A 21,626-nucleotide genomic window follows, 5' to 3' on the forward strand; every position below is an offset into this window, starting at 1 on the left:
CCTTTGCCTATATCTGTGGTGTAAATATTCTGACGTTGGCCAACTTCAAATACACTATAATAGAATATCTTCACCTCATAGATGCAGTGGATATAAATAATATCAAGAGCATAGATATTAGTGAAATGTAGTCAGATGATTAGGAAGTAATGAGTTTTGAGTATTTATTACCTTTCTTTTTAATTTAATGGTTTTTTTTTTTGAGACAGAGTCTCACTCTGTCACCCAGGCTGGAGTGCAGTGGTGCAATCTCTGCTCACTGCAGCCTCCGCCTCCTGGGTTCAAGCAATTATTCTGCCTCAGCCTCCCAAGTAGCTGGGATTACAGGCACCCGCCACCACACCCAGCTAACTTTTGTATTTTTAGTAGAAACGGGTTTTTGCCATGTTGCCCAGGCTGGTCTCAATCTCCTGGGCTCAAGTAGTCCTCCCGTCTCAGTCTCCCAAAGTGCTGGGATTACAGGACAGGTGCCTAAAGATGGGATGAGGATTCTCTGAGATGAGAGAGGAACAAGGACCCCAGAGCCCGATCTGGAAGCTTTTGTCCCCATTCTGGCCCTTAGGGCAGTGAATGCAGATCAGAGGTCATTGATAGCAGGCTTGATTTTTATCTGCATTGATGGGTTCAGCATAAATGGACCAGAACAGGAAGATTGCAAAAAACAGACAAAAAACAACAAAAACAAAAACCTTGGGTTGGCTATTGTAAAAAGACTAGGCACATCACCTTGTGCTTTAGTTTCAAATGATCTTTAGTTTGAACTTTTGTTTTACTCCCACATGTTCTTTTTAAAAAATTCCAAACTCATGGGTCATGATTTGAAGAAAATTTCCCTTCCTCCTGCCTGGCGCACAGAAGGTAACGTCAAAAGCTGGGAAAGGGAACAGGGCAGCAGCAGACATTGACCTTTACCTCCCGCTCCTCTCTCCCACCCCTTGTCTGCTGGGCATAGAGGATTAGAACTGCTTCCTCCTGTGGTTTACCAGAAAACGCTCTGCGGCTAGAGCTTCAGCACAGGCTGGGTCTGCTGTGCCGGGTCTGTATGGGGACAGCTGCACGCCTCTTCCGCTTGTGTGAGAACAAAGGCCGGAACCTGGATTCTGATCCAAACCCCCTGGCCCCCACCTTCTGGGATGTTAGCAGAGCCTTTTAACTGGTAAGTCTCTCCCAGGATGACTCGTAGGAGCCTCTCAGGATTAGAGTTGGAGACAGTGAAGGGTGCCCAGGACTGGGTTCACGTGCCTGCAGTCCGCCCTGGCTCTAAGATGAGCCATCAGAAGAAGGCCTTTTCCACCTCCCTACAGGATGCCCCCACAGCATTTTGTTTCGTAGTGAGTGTATTTCTGGCAAGTATCTTAAATAAGAATTGTAAATGAAATTGCATCCTCCACACACGTAAGTCATAGCTTCAAGAGTTTTTGTCTTAACTGCTGAATGACGCACAGTTCTCAGCTCTTGGCTTCATATTTTAGTTCTCTGTTTCCCTGCCTGGCTGCAGAGGTCAAGGCTCGAAGCACTCATTTGCCTTATAGAAAAGTGGAGGGCAGTTCCCGGATAATAGGGTGCGGATCACCTTTCCTCGGAAAACAGGACTTAGGGACACTAAAAGATCACACAGATCCTTTATCTCACCCTCCCATTTCCTCGATGAGGAAACTGAGGCCCAGCCAGGCTAAATGACTTGTTTAAGGTTATGTGGTTGTTTAGAGGCAGGGCGCAGGCAAGAGCCACCACACATTCGGGTTCCCAGTGTAATGCCCCCTCCCCTTACAGCTGCTCAAACTTTTCACTAAAGATTTTCTCATTGATTTGTTAATTTTTTGAGCAGAAGTGATTCGTAGTTGGATAAGCTTTTGGAAGGCTACTTCCATGCTCTTTGGCTAACTTCAAGTATGTAATTTCGGAAGGTTTATTTCACAGCCCATTCCTCTCAGAGCAGGCAAGGAGGCAGAGGGGAGAAGTGCTTCAGAAGAAAACCTTCTGAAGCAGAGCCGTGCAGCATGAGGAGGAGGCTTGGAGCCCAGGAGATGTGTTGGAGCCGTGGGTGCCTCTGCTCCAGAGGCTGGGGTCCCCCTGTCCCTGACTTTGACTTAACTGGGCTTCTCTGGGCCTGCTTCTTTCCCTGTCAGGGCAGCAGGGAGGATGACCAAGCCAGCCTTCCTCCTGCTGCTTCCAGACTAGTCGGGAGTGTTGAGTTAGGAACCAGGGTTGGTTCTCCAGTGCTGTCTGCAGGGCCTGGCTCTGTAGCCCCAGGAGAGGAGGGAGGTTCACAATGTTTTTCCTGAGAGCAATGGTATACTACCCTTGGGGGCCAGGAGGAACTTTGCATTTAATTAATTAATTAACATTTGTATAGCATTTTTGTCAAATGTATCATCTCAGTCTTCACTGCCCCTCCCCCCACCCCCACCTTGGGTTGATGGTATTTGCCCTGTTTTGTAGATGAAGAAATGTGGATGCTAAGGCTCTAATCACCTACCCACCCTTATGGAAAGGTGGAGGGCATCTCCCTGATTTAATTAGCTGATTTATTTATTTATTTTATTTATTTACTTTTTTTGAGACAGGATCTTGCTCTGTCACCAGGCTGGAGTGCAGTGGTGCGATCATGGCTCACTGCAGCCTGGACCTCTCGGGCTCAAGCAGTCCTCAGCCTCCTGAGTAGCTGAGACTACAGACATGTGCCACCACGCCCAGCTAGTTTTTAAATATTTTTTGTAGAGATGGGGGTCTCGCTGTGTTGCCCAGGCTGGTCTGGAAGTCCTGGGCTCAAGTGATCCTCCTGCCTTGGCCTCCCAGAGTGCCGGGATTATAGGCATGAGCCACTGTGCCTGGCCTAATTAGCTGACTTAATTAGATCACGAAGTTAGGCAGTGGTCTTGAGCCCAGGTCCTTGGACCCCAATGCTTCCTTCTTCTGCTTGACAAAGGAAGCTGTTTAGCATCGTGACTGAGGGTCCAGGCTTTGTGGCTTGACAGTTTCCTTCACCTCCCAGTTTCCTCGTCTGTAGAATGAGACTCCTCACAGAACCTCCTCCACAAGACTGTTGTGAGGAATGATTGGAAAGGTGCGTTTAAGTCATCTGGCACACGCCGACTACTTGGTTAACATAGGTATTATTATTGGATTCAGGAACAACCAGTTTTTACAAGGGGATGGGCGCATGAAACCATTTGAGACTGTTTCGAAACACCTGTGTTAGGACCCACCCTACACCTACTGGATCAGAATGTCTCTGTCTTGAGAAAGGGAGCAGGAGGCGAGGACCGCGTGTTTGTTCTGATGCCCTCCTTTGATGAGAACTGCTGCTCTGGTGCTCGCTGCTCAGTATTCCGGAGTCTCACTACTCAAAGTGTGCTCTTGGACCAGCTGTCAGCACTTCAGGTCCTCTTCCTTCTGCATCAGAATGTCCTTTTAAAAAGATCCCCAGGAAATTCAAATGCTCATTAAAGTTTGAGAAACACTGTAAAGGTTAAAAAAACATAAAAAAAAAAATACCCACACATACTACCCCCACCCATTTAGGAAAGAGTTGTTTTTTAGTTGTTTTGCAACCACAGAGTAAGCAATCATGTTGTAATACCCAATATCTTGGATTTGTTTAAAGGAGTGCTGGCAACATAACAGATAAGGGAGGCCAACCTCAGAACCGGGGACCCACAACAGGACTGGTCAGGGAGGACTGTGGCAAACCTCAGAGTCAGAACAGGATTAAAGAGAGGGCCAGGAGTCAGTTCAGGCCAGGTGGCCATCCGTCACAGCTGTCTGCAGTCTTCTGGGGTGGGGGCAGAGGTGCTGGCCCTTGGGGCTCCCCCACCTGCCCATGCCAGGACTCTGGAGGCTTAGCTCCTCCCTTTGTACCAGGCACGTCCAGAGCCCTGGCTACCAGGATCCGATCAGCAGCTCTGAAGCGCAGCCTGCCAGCTGGCGGCTCCTCCTTCTCCAGGCTGTTCTCTGGGCTTCAGATTTCTTGCTGCCTCTCTCCTGCACTGACCTTGCAGCTTCTCCTTCTCTCCAGACGAGCGATTGCCGGTTGAGGAAAAAACGCTTGAAGGGCCAAGGACAGGGACTGGAAAGCAGGAGGAAAAAGCAGAATGGTCCTGTGGTCCGTGTGTGTATTTAGGGGTGAGGGCAGATACAGGGAGAGTGGGAGAGGAAGGCTGGGGAGCCACCCGTGTGGCCCTGATCCTCTAGTTAAAGCTCCAGTGATGGACGCGTCGTGTGTCCTGTAGACACTGGCTCAGACACTGTGGTTGGGTCCTCACCTTGGGTTGGTCCCTCACTAGGACCCTCTTGGAGATGGATCTTGAGAGAGATGAGGAAGAGGCAGAGGGGGTGGTGGGAGGAGGGGGTCTGACGTCAGGGTCAAGAGGCAGATTGGTGCCCTCTGTATAGGGATGGTGGAGAGGTCATTGGGCTGGTTCTGTGGGGACTTTTGTAAGTTATCTCTTTAAACCTCAACTTCTCCATTTGTATTACCAGATTATGGCTTCCTAAAGTTGTTAAAGATTTTGTTAATCCTTTACCTGGTAAATGCCTGACATATAATAGGCGCTAAATCAGCCATTCAGTTCCTTCGTCACTGCTCCCACCTGCAGGCTGAGCCCCATTTCCACCGTGGATTTCTGACTAGTTCCCATGGGCATGCCGGCCGTGATGACTTTCCCCCTCACTTCCTTCTTCCTTTCCCTCCAACACTGGCCTTGGTTGGAAGCTAGAGAGCCAGAGAGCTGTGGAGGAAGAATTCAGTGCAGGAAGCCCTACAACCTTGGTTAGAACAGAAGGGCAGAACAAACAAATACTTGGTGTGTTTGTGACCCACCTTAGGCCTCTACTTCTCATGCATGTGAGTGCCTCAGTTTAGGCTGAACACTAGCCCAGGTGGTTTGCTTACCTGGGAGAGGTTGTAGCCACTGGCCCAGACACTGTTGTTGGTCCTCACCTTGGGTTGGTCACTCACTAGGACCCTCTTGGACATGAATTTTGAGAGAGATGAGGAAGAGGCGGGGGCGGTGGGAGGGGGGGTCTGACGTCAGGGTCAAGAGGCAGATTTGGTCCCCTCTATAGCGGTGCTGGAGAGGTCATTGGGCATGTCATGCAGTGGCTGCACAGTCAGTCCCAGCTCCCCTGCTTTCTTACCCTGGGACCTTCATTGACCTGAGCCTCAGCTTTTCCATTTGCAGAATGGGAGGACTGTCACAGAACCCCATGTGGTTCTTTCAGGATTCTTGTCTGGATTCATTGAGCTCTAATACACATAAGTACTTAGTGCCAGCACTAATCATTTGCTGGTATCACTCTTCCAGGATGACACCTACCACTCGGTGCTTAATAGGTGATAGGTACAGGCCTCAGCTCATTATAAGCATGAACTCCTTTTATCCTTATAACAACTCTGTGCTGTAGGTACCGCTATTACCCCCATTTCAGGTGAGAAAACTGAGGTACAGCCAGGTTAAATAATTGTGCACTTACTAAGGGGTTGAGCTGGGATTCAAACTCAGGCAGTTAGTCTGGAGTCCATGTTTTCTGTCACTATGCTGTAGCAGTTATTAGTCATCACTTGGTAGTTGGAGCCCAGTGGACATGGAGAAGAGGCAAGTGAGAGGAGGTGGTCCTGCCCTCTCACTGTTCCAACTGTCGCCTGAGGACCTGCCACTATACCTAGGCTGGGGCTGCCCTGCTTGTCCGGGTGACCTGTGCTCCTAGAAGAGACTGGCCTTGGTCATAAAATGGACAGCTCCACTCCCAGGCCTGCGGCCCTCCCTGGTGGCCTTTGCCGCTTTCCTATGCTCCTGGCAGCAAAGTGGTTCATCTCTAGCAAGTGGTCTCTAACTTTCCCAGGCAGAGTCCCTGTCTACAGGGCAGGCTCCCTACCCACTGACTTCCTGGAACAGAAGCCAAGCTGTCAGGAGGGAGGGACAAGCTGTGGGCTTATAACATTTTCTTAAGAAACACGTGGTGGTTTCTTGCCAGGCAGGAAGTGTTTGTTTCCACATCGTAGCCACCTGAACCATGTCTGATCCTTCCTTGTTCCTCGTCTGTCTCTCTTTGCACCCCAGGCACCCAGGCATGTGGAATATGCTCATAGTGGCGATGTGCTTGGCCCTTCTGGGCTGCCTGCAAGCCCAGGAGCTCCAGGGACATGTCTCCATAATCCTGCTGGGAGCAACTGGGGACCTGGCTAAGAAGTACTTATGGCAGGGACTGTTCCAGCTGTACCTGGATGAAGCGGGGAGGGGTCACAGTTTTAGCTTCCATGGAGCTGCTCTGACAGCCCCCAAGCAGGGTCAAGAGCTCATGGCCAAGGCCCTGGAATCCCTCTCCTGCCCCAAGGACATGGCACCCAGTCACTGTGCAGAGCACAAGGATCAGTTCCTGCAGCTGAGCCAGTACCGCCAACTGAAGACGGCCGAGGACTATCAGGCCCTGAACAAGGACATCGAGGCACAGCTCCAGCACGCAGGCCTCCGGGAGGCTGGCAGGATCTTCTACTTCTCAGTGCCACCCTTCGCCTATGAAGACATTGCCCGCAACATCAACAGTAGCTGCCGGCCAGGCCCGGGCGCCTGGCTGCGGGTTGTCCTTGAGAAACCCTTTGGCCATGACCACTTCTCAGCCCAGCAGCTGGCCACAGAACTCGGGACCTTTTTCCAGGAGGAGGAGATGTACCGGGTGGACCATTACTTAGGCAAGCAGGTGAGCATCAGCATGGAGCCTGCCAGGGCTAGGGTGAGCTGGGCGCTGGTAGACCCCAGCAACAAAGCCGCTCGCTCATTGTGGAGCTAGGCCCCAAGGCATTGTGAACTCAGAGCTCCCATGGTCTCCTTGAAGGTGGGCAGGAGGCGAGCGGGTAAAGGAAAGACAGCAGCAGGGCAGGACTGTTGGGTCCTTGTCCATGTGTCTGGCCTCTTTTGTCCTTTGCAAAGCCCCCGTTCTCGTTGTTTCCCAGTCTGGGCTCTGGCTTCTCACGGTTGCCCTGCATCCCCTGTAGCGGTGGCTCAGCAACTCTGGTGTCTGGATCTGGCTTCCTGTTGGGTGTGCTGTGGGAATCAGAATGAGCTCTCTTCTCCTGCACCCATCCACCTTTTTTTTTTTTTTAGACAGAGTCTGCTCTGTCACCAGGCTGGAGTGCAGTGGCATGATCTCGGCTCACTGCAACCTCCGCCTCCTGGGTTCCAGCAATTCTCCCGCCTCAGCCTCCCAAGTAGCTCGGAGTACAGGCGCGCATCACCATGCCCGGCTAATTTTTTGCATTTTTAGTAGAAATGGGTTTTCACCATGTTGGCCAGGCTGGTCTCAAAATCCTGACTTCAAGTGATCCGCTCACTTCGGCCTCCCAAAGTGCTGGGATTACAGGCGTGAGCCACCGCACCCTGCCCCATCTACCTTTTTTCAAAATGTTTTTCTTCCTGAGTTCTGTTTTGAGCCAGAAGGTTGGCAACAAGAGCTTAAACCAGGGAGCAGTAGGACCTTAAGTCCTGGGCAGGAGCATGGGTTAACCTCCTGGGTGACACATGTCCGTTGACCAGTTCACTCAAAATGCCTTGGAGGCCCTTGGGGGCATCCTGCCCCAGGAACCCTGGCAGAGAGTGCAGCAGCCCTGTGTTCTGGTACGTGGTGCGGGTGGGCATAGGCAGTTGTTGAGGACAGAGACATGGCCTTCCATCCCACCCTGCCTGGAGTTGCCCATAGTAGGATTCCTAAATAGGGGTCCTCAGAACTGGGCCAGTCCTGGGGAGGTTTTCACTTGTTTATGGCAAGATGAGAAGAAATACAGAATGTGCTCAATTCAGAGCTTTTCTTTGCTACATTTTTGGTGTTAAACCTATCTTTATTTTATTAAAAATTGATTGTAATAGAAGATAGGTAATTCTAACTTTTTTTCTTGGCAAAATACAAATCTGGTAACCCTTTGGAGGTCACTTGCAAGTTTTTGGAACCTTTACTGGCCTGTGAGATCGTGAAGTCCAGAACTACTGCTCAGAGGGCATCTTCTGCTCTGAGCAGGGAATAGAAAGGTCAGAGCCCTTCCCGGGAGTCAGGGTTCCTCCTTCATCGTGAGAGTATCCTGCAGCACGCCCAGTCTTCCCCCCCCGACAGGCTGTGGCGCAGATCCTGCCTTTCCGAGACCAGAACCGCAAGGCTTTGGACGGCCTCTGGAACCGGCACCATGTGGAGCGGGTGGAGATCATCATGAAAGAGACCGTGGATGCTGAAGGTGTGTGAGTGGCCCTGCGCACTCGGTCCCCCAGCCTCTGCCTGCCCGCTGTCTGCGGTGAGGCATGGGGCGCTTCTCAGAGGGAGGTTTTCTGTGGGTGTGTGGTCTCCCTTCGAGCCTGCCGTGTGCCTAGCTCTGAACCGGGCTAAACCCCAGGGTGCCGGCTGCAAAGCCCAAGTAGCCATTGCTGCCCATGAGGAGCGTATGGTCCAGAGAAGTAGGCCTGGCACAGAGGCGGGAAACCACTGGCACGCGGTAGAGGCTGGAGTCTCCCTGAGGTCCCCCAAGTTTTTGAGTGCGTGGAGACCATGGGAACTGCGTGAGGGCTTCCCCGACTGTGGTGCTTGCAGCCGTGGCGCCCCCTGCCTGGGGCACTCCCCCTCGCGTCCCCCTCACCTTCTGACCCCTCTCTCGCTTGTTAGTTCTCAGCTCCATGGCCCTCCAGGAAGACTTTCTGAGCCCTGCAGGCCCACTCCCCTCACCCTCACGGCGCCACACACCTCCCTCCCCTGCCCTGCACAGTGTTACCCTTGCCTCGTCCTTGTCCACCCTGTCTCTTCTGCCAGCCTGTAGGCTCCAGGAGGACACCGCCTCTCCCGCACTGCCACACACCTCAGACACACTGAGTATACACCCGGGAGGCGGGGGCCCTGCGTCATGCCCACCGCTGCCTTCAGCTGGGTGGCCTCAGCATGTCACTCCTTGCAGCTGTGAGATGAGCATGTCCTGTCGGTGAGGACAGCTAAGGTCCCTTAGCTGGCATTCTGTGATGGTAGCAAAGTTTTGGAGCATTGACCGTGAAGATGTAAAGCACTGGCTCTTGCCCAGTAACGATAAGAGCTGAAGTTTACTGTGTCCCCAGTCCCCAGCCGCCAGGTGAGGTGGGCGCTGTTACTAGCCTCCTTACAGATGAAGATGGTGGCGAGCCCACAGCCCCACAGTAGAAGGCGGTGGAGCCTGATCCTGGGGGCAACAGTCTGGCCCCAGCACTCAGGCCTGGCGCCGCTGCGCTGTGCTGCCAGCGCTGCGTCAGTGGCCAGCTCATCCCCGCGGCCGCTTTCTGCAGCTGCAGCGGGAGCACCCGAGGCCACTGCCCCCCCAGCCCCCGCAGTGCGTGCCCGCCACAGGGCAGGGCCCAGAGCCCTGGACCCAGGGATGGGCCAGGAGGTTTCTCCTCTTTTTCTCTCTCCCTTGCTCTTTCTCTGGGCCATTTTCTCTTTTTCTTTCCCCCGCCCCTTGGTTTCTCTTCAGCTGCTTCTCCCTTCCTCTCTGAATGTGTATTTAGTGCCAGAAGCTCTCTGCGGGGCCGAGGTGCCACAGTGAGGTACAAAACTCAGCCTCTCAGATATGGCTCCCTAATACTGCCCAGATTCACGGGTGCTGTGGGGGGTGATGATCTCATCACACTGGCTGGTGGGACAAACTCCAAAATGGAGCTGGGCGCAGTGGTACACCCGTAGTCCCAGCTACTCGGGGGCAGAGGCGGGAGGATCATTTGAGCTCAGTAGTTGGACACCAGCCTGGGGAGCATAGTGAGCCTCCGTCTCTGAAAAAGAAAACAAAATGGGTGATGGGTGTTGCAGGCAGGCAGCGTGGTGGGGGGACAATGTGGGGGGTGGGCGGGAGGCCAGGCAGGACTTCCCAAGCCAGGCCTTGAAGGACATTGCTGGGTTCGAGAAGGCACTGGGTTTCTCTACTTCAGAACCCACAGCAGAAAAGAGGCCCTACCCCCTGCAGTGAGCCTTCATGGGTCTCAGGGAATCGTCCTCCAGCCCTTCCAAATTTCCCTCCCAGTCCTCAGCCAGGGCGCTGGCCGTGGGTTGCCCCCCGTGCCTGTCTGTGCCTGATCTCCCAGCAGGCACGTGTGCTGGGCCTATGCCTGCTTCATCTTCAGAGAAGTGAGCTGCACCTGGTGCAGAGAGCCTAGAGCAGAATTGGAGGGGGTCCTGCCCCTGCTGAAGCCAGCGGGCCGGCGCTTGCCCTTCTCTACCTGGACTTGGCCCCATCCCCAGCGAGGCTGGGAGACTCCTCTCCCCTTTCTGGCAACTCCTTCCTATCTCCGCCCTGGGCTGGGGAAGAGCCATGATGTCTGGAGTTACCTGTTGGTACTGTTGCCTCTTAGTTCTTCCAGCCCTCCCACCCTGTTTCCTTCTTGGTATGTGGTGTCATTTGTGGGTTGTTTGTAGGTCCCATGGAGCCAGGGACCAGGCAGATTGCAGGCCCGATTATCCTAGCAAAGGTACTTTTGGATTTTGAAGAAAGAAACACGGAAGATATGAAAGACAGACAGGTGGAGCTCTGGGCAGGTCTGTTTGCCGGGACAGTCTGAGGATGTTGGGTTTGAACAGCAACACAACAGCCTGGGCTGGCTGTCCTCAAGGTCCAGGAGGGAGAGGCACCTGGAGCCCTGTTGTCACAGCTGCAGGGACTAAAGGAGGCCCAGCCTTGCCTGCCATATGGGGCTCTAGGGGAGGGTCCGCCGCTCCTAAGCTCCAGAGTCCAAGGCCTTTAGTACAGCTGGGCCCTGTACCTTCAGCCCAGGGGCAAAGGGAGCCTCAGCGCAGGACAGGCAGTGGGAGATCCACTAGTCCTGGAGGCTTGCAGCCTGTCGCGGTGAGACCAGAGTGGGGCTAGTTCAGTCCACGTTCCTTGTCAGAGGTGGCCAGCAGGACTGCAACTGTCCTGGGGTTTGGCCCTCACTGGTTGGCTTGTTTACCTGCCATTTACAAACAGGTCCTTGATAGCTCGTAGCAGGGAGGGACAGCCTGCTGCTGAGCCCAGCCCCCCAGCAAGTGGGCCTTGGACACAGGGTGCTTTGGCAACAGAATGAGCTTGCTTGCTGCCTCTCTCAATTTTGTGTGCCTGCGTGCCAGGGGACACATTCTTTCTGCATTCCAGGAAGGTGGCCTGGTACAGCCCTGCTGGCCCAAGCACTGCTCTGTGCTGTCCTCTCTGAGTCCTGCTTTGGAGCCAGTCCTTCAGGGGCCTCCCACCTGTGGTTCAGACTGGAAAGAGGGGACAGGCACCGCAGACCTGCAGCACACCCCAGCATGGCCAGGAGCCCTGTGCCCAGCACAGCAAGGCCTAGGCTGCCACTGCTGTCCCGGGTGAGGGCGGGAAACAGGCAGGAGTAAATGCTGCCTCCTACTGGAGCTTGGTGGACTTGGCAGGCGAGTGCTGCTGCAGTGGGGCTCAGCATGGGCAGAATGTTTCCAAGGCAGGATTCGGAGCCCGCGGTCTGACTGCTAATCAGAGGGGTCAAAGTGCACGGCAGGCCATTCTCCCCCACTCCCCACCCCACACACACCGCAGGCCATTCTCCCCCACTCCCTACCCCACACACACCGCAGGCCATTCTCCCCCACTCCCCACCCTACACACACCGCAGGCCATTCTCCCCCACTCCCCACCCCACACACACCACAGGCCATTCTCTCCCACTCCCCACCCCACACATACCACAGGCCATTCTCCCTCACTCCCTACCCTGTCCTCTGCCCTGCCAAGGGTTCTGGTGGATCCCAGCTGCTCTCCACCCCTGCAGTGGTGCAACCCTAGCTGACTCCTAGGCAGGAGTGGCACCTGCGTAACCGAAGCCAGCACCCTGAGTGCTGGGAAGGGAGGGGCTGCAAGCCAGGCCTGGGAAATGGAGCATTCCCGGTCCAGAGCTGCTGCAGGCCCCGGGAAAGGGACTTCTGAGCTGCAAGGTCGTTTGGATGTCTTCCCCCACCCGCATCACACACATCTAAGTGGGTGGAAGCCGGCTTCCCCGGCTCCCTCCCCTCCATCCTCCATGCTGGGTGAGTGTTGTTTTTTTTTCCTGCTGCAGCCTCTGGCCCAGAGGAGTTTGCTGCAGAGTCAAGGCTGCTGCACAGGCCGGAGGGGGTGGGGAGGAGGAAAGGAAGACGCGATCTGGTTCCCAGCTCCCTCTCAGCCTGACCTGGGGTGCTCCTCCTGTGCGTCCCAGTCCGTGAGCCCCTGAGAGTCACAGCCCCCCTGGGTACCCTGGCTGGGGTCTCGAAGCAGCATGGGCCATAAAAGGAGAGTCACTGAGCCTCCTTCATCCCAGAGATGACCCTGGCTGGCCCTCATCATGGCATCGGGAGGGCTCTGCAGACAGGCGGGCCCATGTGATTAATGGGCTGTGTTCAGCTGTCTGGGTCCGGCTGCCTTTTCTGTCGGGAGTGCTGGAATTGGAACTGAGGTCTTGGCACCTCAGAGCCTGAGCCTCTAACCACTGAGCTCCACAGCCTCCCCAGCTGGCCAGGCCCTCAGCAGTTGGCCTCCCTGCTGGAACGCACTCAGGGCCAGTCTCCTTGCTGCCCTAGTTTCCCCTCTGTGTAGAAGGCCTGCTGTTGTTGTTGTTGTTGTTGTTGTTGTTGTTGTTGTTAGAAAGAAGGAGGGAGACTTCCTGAGGACATCACTGCTGGGAGGGTCCCTGTCCTGACATGGGGGAAAGGAGCCTGATGCTTGCCCACCTCTGAGGGCTGGAGTGACCGTTCAGTGCCTCTCACCGAGGGACCAGGGCATCCAGGGTCCTTCCAGGCACACACCAGCTGTCCCGCCTTCCAGCCTGGTGTGCCAGAAGGGGCCAGGAGCTCACTCAGCAGGGCCGGTTCCCCTTCCCGCCCCCTCTGCAGAGCTGTCTGCAAGGTGAGCCCAGGGCAGCTGCCGGATCTCCTGTCCAGAGAGAGCACCAGCAAGCACACTGTGCTCTCCTTGGCCCTCACCTCTTTTTATTTTTAGTAATCCCAGAAGGTGTTGATGGGGATTGCAGCTGGCTCTTAGTTGTCTTTTTTTTTTTTTTTTAATCTATTTTTGTTGAGAAAACCTGGATTTCCCACAATGTGGAAGCAACGAGGAAGGGGTTTCTGGTCCCGGTTCTGAAGGCTGTGACCTTCAGCGCACATCTATACAATGCTGATAGCCCCGGCACCTCTCTCTCTCGGGTAGTTCTAAGGATTAAATCAGATAATGCACACGGAAATACGTTACAAATGGAAGTGTTGTTGTTCTTCCAAGTTTGCAAGGAGAGGCAGCGGCAGTGTTCTTGCAGTGTGTCTGAGTTCCACGTGACTTATATTGGATTATTATATAAATCCTGTAATTGATCTGTCATACTTTTATGTCCATTCTTTATGTCATATTTCTCTCTCACATATACATACACAGTTGTATACATACTTAAATCTCTATGTATTAGCAGTCTGCACAACATATACCTTTTAATATTTATATTTCTGTTCAGTTCTGTTCATACCACAGAATATGTGTTATAAACTCTTTTATTAAGCTTTTTGGTTGTTTCTAGTTTTTTGCTATTTTATTATTATTATCTTGGAGTCTTGTTATGTTACCCAGGCTGGTCTTGAACGCCTGGTCTCAAGTGATCCTCTCTTGCTTTAACCTCCCAAATAGCTGAGACTACAGGAGTGCCCCACCTCCCCGGCTTCTATCTTAGATGGTACTTTGTGAGCTTTTTTTAAAATTGAGATACAATGCACATACCACAAAATTTACGCTTTTAAAATATAAAATTAAGTGGTTTTTAGTATATTTACAAAGTTATGCAACTACTATCTAATTCGAGAACATTTATGAGCATTTTAAAAAACATATTCCCTTTAAGTATATACTTCGGCAGTAGAATGACGGGGCCAAAGGGGAGAAGTGCTTTCTAGCTGTTACTCTCTGTTATGAGTCTGAGCAGCACAGCTGGCGGGCACAGCCATGGCCCCCCTGCTTTGTCATCCTCTGACCTTGGACGAGCTCTGGATGTGCACAGGTGGGAGCCAAGTTTACAGGGGGTCTTTCCTCCCAGTGTCCACCCTGGTTGTGCTTTTCTCTATCCTTTTCATATACTGATGGGTTTCAACCCTCAACTTTCAACCCGGGAAAATACACTAGGAGCCAATATAGATCATTTTTAGGAGAAATCAGTCCACAATAACGGGCAGTAACTAGAAAAGATCAACATCAGCAGGAGGGCCAGCCCCTCGCCTCCTGTCCTTGCACTCAGCTGCATGGCCTCTTCCCAGGGAGGTGCCAGGCCACAGTCCCAGTCACTGCATTAAACTCTGAAAAGACGGAGCCAACCAGGCAAAGTCCATAAATCTACAGGCCGTGTTAAACACAGGCGCACCCCCTGAAGCTTGAAATTAAGGAATAAAGGAAGCTCTCTTTTACCCAGCAGGTAGTAAACCCGTGGAATGCATTCTTTTTGAGAATTGAGAGAGGATAAAAATAGGAAAGGGGCCGCTTAGGGATTCGCTACATTAATGAATAGTAAGCAGATAACAGGGCTTTTAGGGACTCTGTTGTGTTCCCTTCATCAAAAATTCATCTGTTTTTAAAGCTTTAAGTATGCTGTTGACATATAAATCCACTGTAATTCATTGATTGGAAGACATTTTTTTCATATTTGGACGTCTCTGAAGTTGGGTTTATCCTTAATAGGGTGACATAGTGGAACTGGAAACCCTTTTCTTTCTTAGGGGTTATAAAACAGCGATGCTTCCGCCACTGATGGCATTTCAGGTTTGATGAAATCCAGTTTATCTCCAGTGTGCGTTGTCTCCCCAGGCCCTAGTTTATACCTCCAGCCGCCTTTTAGATCATTTCATGGGGTGTTGCACCATCCCTTCAGATTCAGCAGATTTAGAATGAAAACCATCACTGCATTTTTCTCATGAAATACCAACTGTGTTTTCTAACCTCTTTATTTCAAATGGGAACAGTGCTCTCTGAGTGACCAGGCTGGTAGCCCTTCTCTTACAGCATCTGTCATAAGAAAAATTCCAACCAGTCTTTATCAGTGTTTCCTGTGTGCTAGCCACTGTTCCAAGCCCTGTGTGGATATTAACTCCTTCAGGCCCACAGAAGCCCTGTAAGGGAGGTGCGGGGATTGTTGCTTGTTCGTATGTGAGGTGATGTCAGTTGCTGGAGATCACAGGGCTGAAAGATGGCAGAGCCGGTATTTAAACCGGGGCAGGCTGGGCACGGGGGCTTATACCTGTAATCCCAGCACTTTGGGAGGCCGAGACGGGTGGATCACTTGAGGTCAGGCGTTCAAGACCAGCCTGGTCAAATGGTGAAACCCCATCTCCACTAAAAATACAAAAATTATCCAGGCATGGTAGTTTGTGCCTGTAATCCCAGCTACTCGGGAGGCTGAGGCAGGAGAATTGCTTGAACCCAGGAGGCGAAGGTTACAGTGAGCCAAGATCGCGCCACTGCACTGCAGCCTGGGTAATGGGGAGACTCCATCTCCAATAAAATAAAACAAAATAAGATAAGATAAAATAAGATAAAATAAACTGGAGCAGCCTGGCTCCAGAGACCACACTCCAGATCACAGCTCTGTACCACCATTCAAGGATCCAGCCAGTCACCAAGTAGTTTGTATTCATCTGCTATAATAACTTCTTTGCAGTTCACTGTGACTTCGTTCCCTCCTACCTTTGTTACTTCCTTTGATGGCAGCAAAGGCTGCCTCACTGATTTCACTACCACCAGTCCCATCCTGTTCATCTTGGAGGTCGCAGACAGCTTCATCTTCCTGAAGTACCTCTTTCGTGCTTCTGCTTCCCTGTTCTAAAACCTTTTTTAAAAAGTTTTATTGAGCTGTAACTCACAAATCCTACTACACTTTACCCAGTTAAGGTGGACAGGCCAGTGAGCTTTCGTGTATTCACAGAGTTGTGTGTCAGTACCACAATCAATTTTAGGACATGTTCATCACGGCAAAGGAAGCCCTGTACCCCTTCGTTGTCATCCCACAATTTCCCCCTCTCCCCAGCTCCTGGCAACCACAGAAATGCATTCTCTCTGCGGGGTTGCCTGTTCTGGATATTTTGTACATATAGGATCATACGGTGTGTGGTTTCCATCAGTTAGCATCCTGAGTTCAGAGTTCACCCATGTTCTAGCATGTACCAGCACTTCATTTCTTTTTACTGCTGAATAATATCTTATTGTATAGATATACCATAATTTATCCAGTCACCAGTTAGTGGACATTTGGGTTGCCTCTACTTTTTGGCTGTTATATATAATGCTGCAATGAGCATTCATGTACAAGCTTTTGTGTGGACCTGCATTTTTATTTCTCTTGAGTATAAACCCAGGAGTGGGGTTGCTGGAGGATCATGACTCTGTTTAACTGTTTGAGGCCAATAACTCTTATTTATTTATTTATTTTTTATTTTTTATTTTTGGAGACAGGGTCTTTATCTGTCGCCCTGGCTGGAGTGCAGTGGTGCAATCATAGCCCACTGCAGCCTCGACCTCCTAGGCTTAAGTGATCCTCCCACCTCAGCCTCCCAAGTAGCTGGGACCACAGGTGTATTTCACCATGCCCAGCTAATTTTTGTATTTTTTGTAGAGATGGGGTTTTGCCATGTTGCCTAGGCTGGTCTTGAACTCCTGGACTCAGGAGATCTGCCCACCTCAGCCTCCCAAAGTGCTGGGATTACAAGCATAAGCCACTGTGCCAGGCCTTAGGTCCCTTTCAAATGCAAGATATTCCTGATTTTCCTGTTCTATTATTGCAGGGGAAGGGAAGAATTGTCTTTTTACATTCTCCCGAAAAGGAGAATTGGAAGATTTGGTCACCCTGGGCCCACACTCCTGTGAGGCACCACCTGAATGCACCTGAGGTACTTAACTGTACCTCTGAGGGACACCAGCCTTACTCCATCCTTTTCGCTTTTGCTGGCCCCGGTAGGCATTGGAATCTCTGAGCTTTGCCCTAGACCCCTCCTTCCAGAAGCTCAGCCGGCTTCTTCATTGTGCTCTGTTTCTAAAGGCCAGTGGTGCCCACGCCACTCAACTTCACACCGTTCTGTTGTAGGGTTGAAGAGTGGGTAATTAAAAGGGAAATGTTTTGGTGGTAAGAATTGCAGGCTCTGGGTCGAACTGCCTGGGTTTGAAGCTATTTTTACCTCTTTACCAGCTGTGTGTGACCTTGGGTAAGTTATCCAACCTCTCTGAACTTCAGGTTCCTTATATTTTAAAATAGGGGAAATAGAGGGGCCTCCTTATATGTTGTTATTCTGAGGATAAATGGACTGATCCACAAACATTGCTGGCATCAGTTTCTCTTTTTCTGGATGTCTTCTCAACAATAGCACAAGAACTTGAAGGCCACAACACTACAGAGCTGGGGGATCTCAGCCATTGTTTTCCCAGTGGAGACCACTCTTGGCATTTTGGTTGGCACAGTTGGGCTGGACTTCCTGCTCATTTCAAGGTTTAGTATCCCTGGACAGAGCTGCACCCTCTAGCTCCTGGTTGTTATGGCCGGGGACAGAGTGCCTTCCTACGAGTGGCTGCCGGCTTCATTTCTTGCCCCCCAACACTGGTGCTGCTGTCGGGAATGGCATATCGGGCTGGATTCAGGGCAGGTTGTTCCCCCAGCCATGACCTGGACATGCTTGCTGTCTGGTTGGCCCGAGAGTGCACACCACCAACCTGGTCAGGGCAGGTGCCCAGGACTGGCGCCATGGACCCAGAGTGGCTGCTGGGAGGGGAGCATGCTGGGCTCAGCAGGCCTGAACTTAGGATCTGCTGCTTTTTGTCTGTTGGAATTAAATGTTAACTAGATACTAGGTAAATTTAAAGTTTACAGAATGCATGGAAGAGATACAGAACTATGGTATAAGAAACGGGGATGCACCTACCACCCGTTTTTAAAAAAGAATTTGATTCTCCTGCGTGTCCCTCCCCACGTTCTGACCTATTTCCTCATCTTACACTTCCAAATTGTGGATAGATTATTCCCTCGCTTCTCTTTCTGTTTCCATGCACGCCTGGTTCCCTAAACAACCTGTTGTTTAATTTTGAACAAGAGTCATCCTGTATGTGTCCGAGCATGGATCTTTTTGTCTCTGTGTCCAGCATTTGGGAGAATCGCCTCAGCTCTGTCTTCTGCTAGCTGACTCTTTACAGCTGTTTCTCATCTGTAAGGCCCATCTACTGAATTTCTAGTTTCCAATTATATTTTTCATTTATTGAAGTTCTGTTTATTTTGGTCACTTTATATCCTGTTTTCTTTTTCTTTCTTTTTTTTTTTTGAGACAGGGTCTCATGCGGTGTTGTCCAGATGGGGTGCAGTGGCAGGTTCACAGCTCACTGCAGCCTTGACCTCCTGGGCTCAAGCAATCCTCCCACCCCAGCCTCCCAAATAGTTGGGACCACACTTGGCTAATTTTTTTTTTTTAATTTTTTGTAGAAACAGGGTCTCACTTTGTTGCCCAAGATGGTCTTGAACTCCTGGACTCTGGGCTCAAGTGATCCTCCTGCCTTGGCCTCCCAAAGTGCTGGGATTACCAGCATGAGCCAGTCCGCCTGGCCTATATCCTATTTTCAAGTTAATTTTTATTTTATCAAAGTAATCATGTTGCTTTCTCACCACATTACGTCTTGGAGGTTTATCCGTGACAATGTGTGGATCTTCATTTTCTCTGCTGTCCACTGTCTGAACGTAGTGCTGTGTTAGGGGCTAGGGATGCAGCAGAGGGCAGATGCCACTCAGATGGAGCCTCCCTCGTAGTGGGGAAGAAAGAGAAACAGGCCTGAATTACAGTCAGCTGGGCTAGAAGAAGCCAGGGCCCCTCAGAAGGGGTAGGCCAAAGCTCCTAGAAGCTGAGCCCTTAAGGATGACTGGGAGTTTGCTGGGTGAACAAACAAATCCCAGGTTAGGGGTCCTACGTGCAGAAGCCTTTGAGAAATGATGGCTCCTCGTGTCTGAGGCCAGGCTCTCTCTGTAGGTGAGGGTGTGAGGAGACTTGGGCATTGGAACTCTCCTGCGAGGTGGTATGCGTTGGAACCCTGATCTCTGGGACTGTCCTGTATATTCGAGTCACCGATAATCAGTGCTCACCGGGGTTCAGCCTCAGAGGAGGGAGTGGAGCGGAGCTCGTGGTTAAGCAGTGTCTGCTTCTGCCCCCGCGCCTGGTCACCTGCCTCCTTCCTCACTCGCGGAGCAGGAGTGATCACGGTGCCTGCGTGCAGGGTCTTTGTGAGTATGGGGAGGAGCGGCGCGGGCCGGGGCTGCTGTCAGCGTTGGTGTTGTTATGCTGGTGTTGTTACGTTGCTATTGTTACACCGGTGTTGTTACGCCAGTGTTGTTATGTTGCTGTTGTTACGCTGGTGGTGTTATGTTGGTGTTGTTACATCAGTGTTGTTACGTTGCTGTTGTTACACCCGTGTTGTTACGTTGTTATACCGATATTGTTACGCCAGGGTTGTTACATTGTTGTTACACCAGTGTTATGTTGTTGTTACACTGGTGTTGTCATTCTTATCCCAGTGTTGTTATGTTGTTATGTCAGTGTTAATGTTGCTGTTGTTATGCTGTTGTTACACCAGTGTTATGTTGTTGTTACACCGGTGTTGTACACCATTGTTATGCCGGTGTTGTGTTGTTACACTGGTGTTATGTTGCTGTTACACCAGTGTTGTTACATTGCTGTTAAGCTGGTGTTATATTGTTATGCTGGTGTTGTAACATTGCTGTTAACACCGTTGTTATGTTGCTGTTATGCCGGTGTTGTGCCAGTGTTATGCCGGTGTTGTTTTGTTGTTGTTACGCTGGTGTTACATTGTTACACCAGTGTTATGTTGTTGTTACACCGGTGTTGTTATGTTGCTGCTGTTACATCGGTGTTGTTACATTGTTATGCTGGTGTTGTTATGTTGTTGTTACACCAGTGTTGTTACATTGCTGTTGTTACTCTGGTGTTGTTATGTTGTTGTTATGCTGGTGTTGTGTTACTGTTGTTATGTTGTTGTTACGCTGGTGTTGTTATGTTGCTGTTGTTACATCGGTGTTATGTTGTTATGCCAGTGTTACATTGCTGTTACGATGATGGTGTTATGTTGCTGTTGTTACACTGATGTTTTTTGTTTGTTTGTTTTTGTTTTTGAGGCAGAGTCTCGCTCTGTCGCCCAGGCTGGAGTGTAGTGGTGCGATCTCAGCTCACTGCAAGCTCTGCCTCCTGGGTTCACGCCATTCTCCTGCCTCAGCCTCCCAAGTAGCTGGGACTACAGGCGCCCGCCACCACGCCCAGCTAATTTTTTGTATTTTTTAGTAGAGACGGGGTTTCACCATGTTAGGATGGTCTCGATCTCCTGACCTCGTGATCCGCCTGCCTTGGCCTCCCAAAGTGCTGGGATTATGGGCGTGAGCCACCATGCCTGGCCACACCGGTGTTGTTATGTTGCTGTTGTTACACCAGTGTTGTTATGTTGTTGTTACACTGGTGTTGTATGGTTACACCATTGTTGCGCCAGTGTTGTGTTGTTGTTACACTGGTGGTGGTGTTACAACAACTTGTTGTTACACCAGTGTTATGTTGCTGTTAAGCCAGTGTTGTTATGTTGTTATGCTGGTGTTGTTATATTGTTGTTACGCCAGTGTTGTTACGTTGCTGTTATGCTGGTGTTATGTGGTTGTTACACTAGTATTATGTTGCTGTTATTCCAGTGTTGTTACATTGTCACACCAGTGTTGTTACGTTGCTGTTACAATGGTGTTATATTGCTGTTATTAAGCTGGTGTTACGTTGTTGTTATGCTGGTGTTGTTACATTGCTCTTAACACCGGTGTTATGTTGCTGTTGTTACGCCAGTGTTGTTATATTGTTGTTACACCGGTGTTATGTTGCTGTTGTTACACTGGTGTTACATTGTTGTTACACCAGTGTTGTTATGTTGCTGTTGTTACGGTGGTGTTATGTTGTTATGCTGGTGTTGTTTTGTTGTTGTTATGCTGGTGTTACGCCGGTGTTATGTTGTTGTTACACCAGTGTTATGTTGCTGTTGTTACGCCAGTGTTGTTACGTTGTTGTTATGCTGGTGGTGTTATGTTGCTGTTGTTACTCTGCTGTTATGTTGTTGTTACACTGGTATTATGTTACTGTTGTTATGTTGTTATGCTGGTGTTGTTGCACTGCTGTTATGCTGGTGTTATGTTGTTACTCCGGTGTTGTTACGTTGCTGTTGTTACGCCGGTGTCGTTATGTTGTTACGCCAGTGTTGTTACGTTGCTGTTAGCTGGTGTTATATTGCTGTTGTTAAGCTGGTGTTATGTTGTTGTTATGCTGGTGTTGTTACATTGCTGTTGACACTGGTGTTGCTGTTGTTACGCCAGTGTTATGTCGTTACACCAGTGCTGTTATGTTGTCGTTACGCCAGTGCTGTTATGTTGCTGTTGTTACGCCAGTGTTGTTATATTGTTGTTACACCAGTGTTATGTTGCTGTTGTTACACTGGTGTTGCATTGTTGTTACACCAGTGTTGTTATGTTGCTGTTGTTACGGTGGTGTTATGTTGTTATGCTGGTGTTGTTTTGTTGTTGTTATGCTGGTGTTATGTTGTTACACCAGTGTTATGTTGCTGTTAC

General features: G+C 50.7%; 1 protein-coding gene and 1 long non-coding RNA gene across 9 annotated transcripts in view, besides 5 other annotated features; one reads left to right on the top strand and one right to left on the bottom strand.

Annotated features, from left to right (window-relative positions):
* The window catches only part of H6PD (hexose-6-phosphate dehydrogenase/glucose 1-dehydrogenase), a 36,564-nt gene that overhangs the window by 4,089 nt on the left and 10,849 nt on the right, over positions 1 to 21,626 (top strand). The window contains exons 2-4 of one of the 8 annotated variants that reach the window (XM_047435002.1): positions 953 to 1,156; positions 6,063 to 6,699; positions 8,104 to 8,221. In XM_047435002.1, coding sequence (XP_047290958.1) covers positions 1,134 to 1,156; positions 6,063 to 6,699; positions 8,104 to 8,221 — 778 coding nt within the window. In that variant the 5' untranslated portion in view covers positions 953 to 1,133. Of the gene's footprint in view, positions 1 to 952; positions 1,157 to 3,963; positions 4,126 to 6,062; positions 6,700 to 8,103; positions 8,222 to 21,626 lie in introns of those variants that run through there. The other 7 variants (NM_001282587.2, XM_017002865.3, XM_047435005.1 and 4 more) reach the window with 7 other exon arrangements.
* Positions 1,953 to 2,618: an enhancer, noted in NCBI's record as "H3K27ac-H3K4me1 hESC enhancer chr1:9300874-9301539 (GRCh37/hg19 assembly coordinates)". NCBI's record gives its function as "activates a minimal SCP1, AML or CMV promoter by ChIP-STARR-seq in naive H9 embryonic stem cells {active_cell/tissue: H9 hESC(naive)}" and the evidence as "EXISTENCE:reporter gene assay evidence [ECO:0000049][PMID:30033119]".
* Positions 3,101 to 3,856, bottom strand: LOC124903836 (uncharacterized). Its single transcript, XR_007065455.1, has 2 exons — positions 3,694 to 3,856; positions 3,101 to 3,411 (listed from the first exon to the last, which is right to left on the bottom strand). It is a non-coding gene; the product is annotated as an uncharacterized LOC124903836 (long non-coding RNA).
* Positions 9,648 to 10,571: an enhancer, noted in NCBI's record as "H3K27ac-H3K4me1 hESC enhancer chr1:9308569-9309492 (GRCh37/hg19 assembly coordinates)". NCBI's record gives its function as "activates a minimal SCP1, AML or CMV promoter by ChIP-STARR-seq in naive and primed H9 embryonic stem cells {active_cell/tissue: H9 hESC(naive and primed)}" and the evidence as "EXISTENCE:reporter gene assay evidence [ECO:0000049][PMID:30033119]".
* Positions 10,572 to 11,495: an enhancer, noted in NCBI's record as "H3K27ac-H3K4me1 hESC enhancer chr1:9309493-9310416 (GRCh37/hg19 assembly coordinates)". NCBI's record gives its function as "activates a minimal SCP1, AML or CMV promoter by ChIP-STARR-seq in primed H9 embryonic stem cells {active_cell/tissue: H9 hESC(primed)}" and the evidence as "EXISTENCE:reporter gene assay evidence [ECO:0000049][PMID:30033119]".
* Positions 12,420 to 13,342: an enhancer, noted in NCBI's record as "H3K4me1 hESC enhancer chr1:9311341-9312263 (GRCh37/hg19 assembly coordinates)". NCBI's record gives its function as "activates a minimal SCP1, AML or CMV promoter by ChIP-STARR-seq in naive H9 embryonic stem cells {active_cell/tissue: H9 hESC(naive)}" and the evidence as "EXISTENCE:reporter gene assay evidence [ECO:0000049][PMID:30033119]".
* Positions 13,605 to 14,164: an enhancer, noted in NCBI's record as "OCT4-NANOG-H3K4me1 hESC enhancer chr1:9312526-9313085 (GRCh37/hg19 assembly coordinates)". NCBI's record gives its function as "activates a minimal SCP1, AML or CMV promoter by ChIP-STARR-seq in naive H9 embryonic stem cells {active_cell/tissue: H9 hESC(naive)}" and the evidence as "EXISTENCE:reporter gene assay evidence [ECO:0000049][PMID:30033119]".

The sequence above is a fragment of the Homo sapiens genome, chromosome 1 (assembly GCF_000001405.40).
Source record: "Homo sapiens chromosome 1, GRCh38.p14 Primary Assembly".
Lineage (NCBI taxonomy): Eukaryota > Metazoa > Chordata > Mammalia > Primates > Hominidae > Homo > Homo sapiens.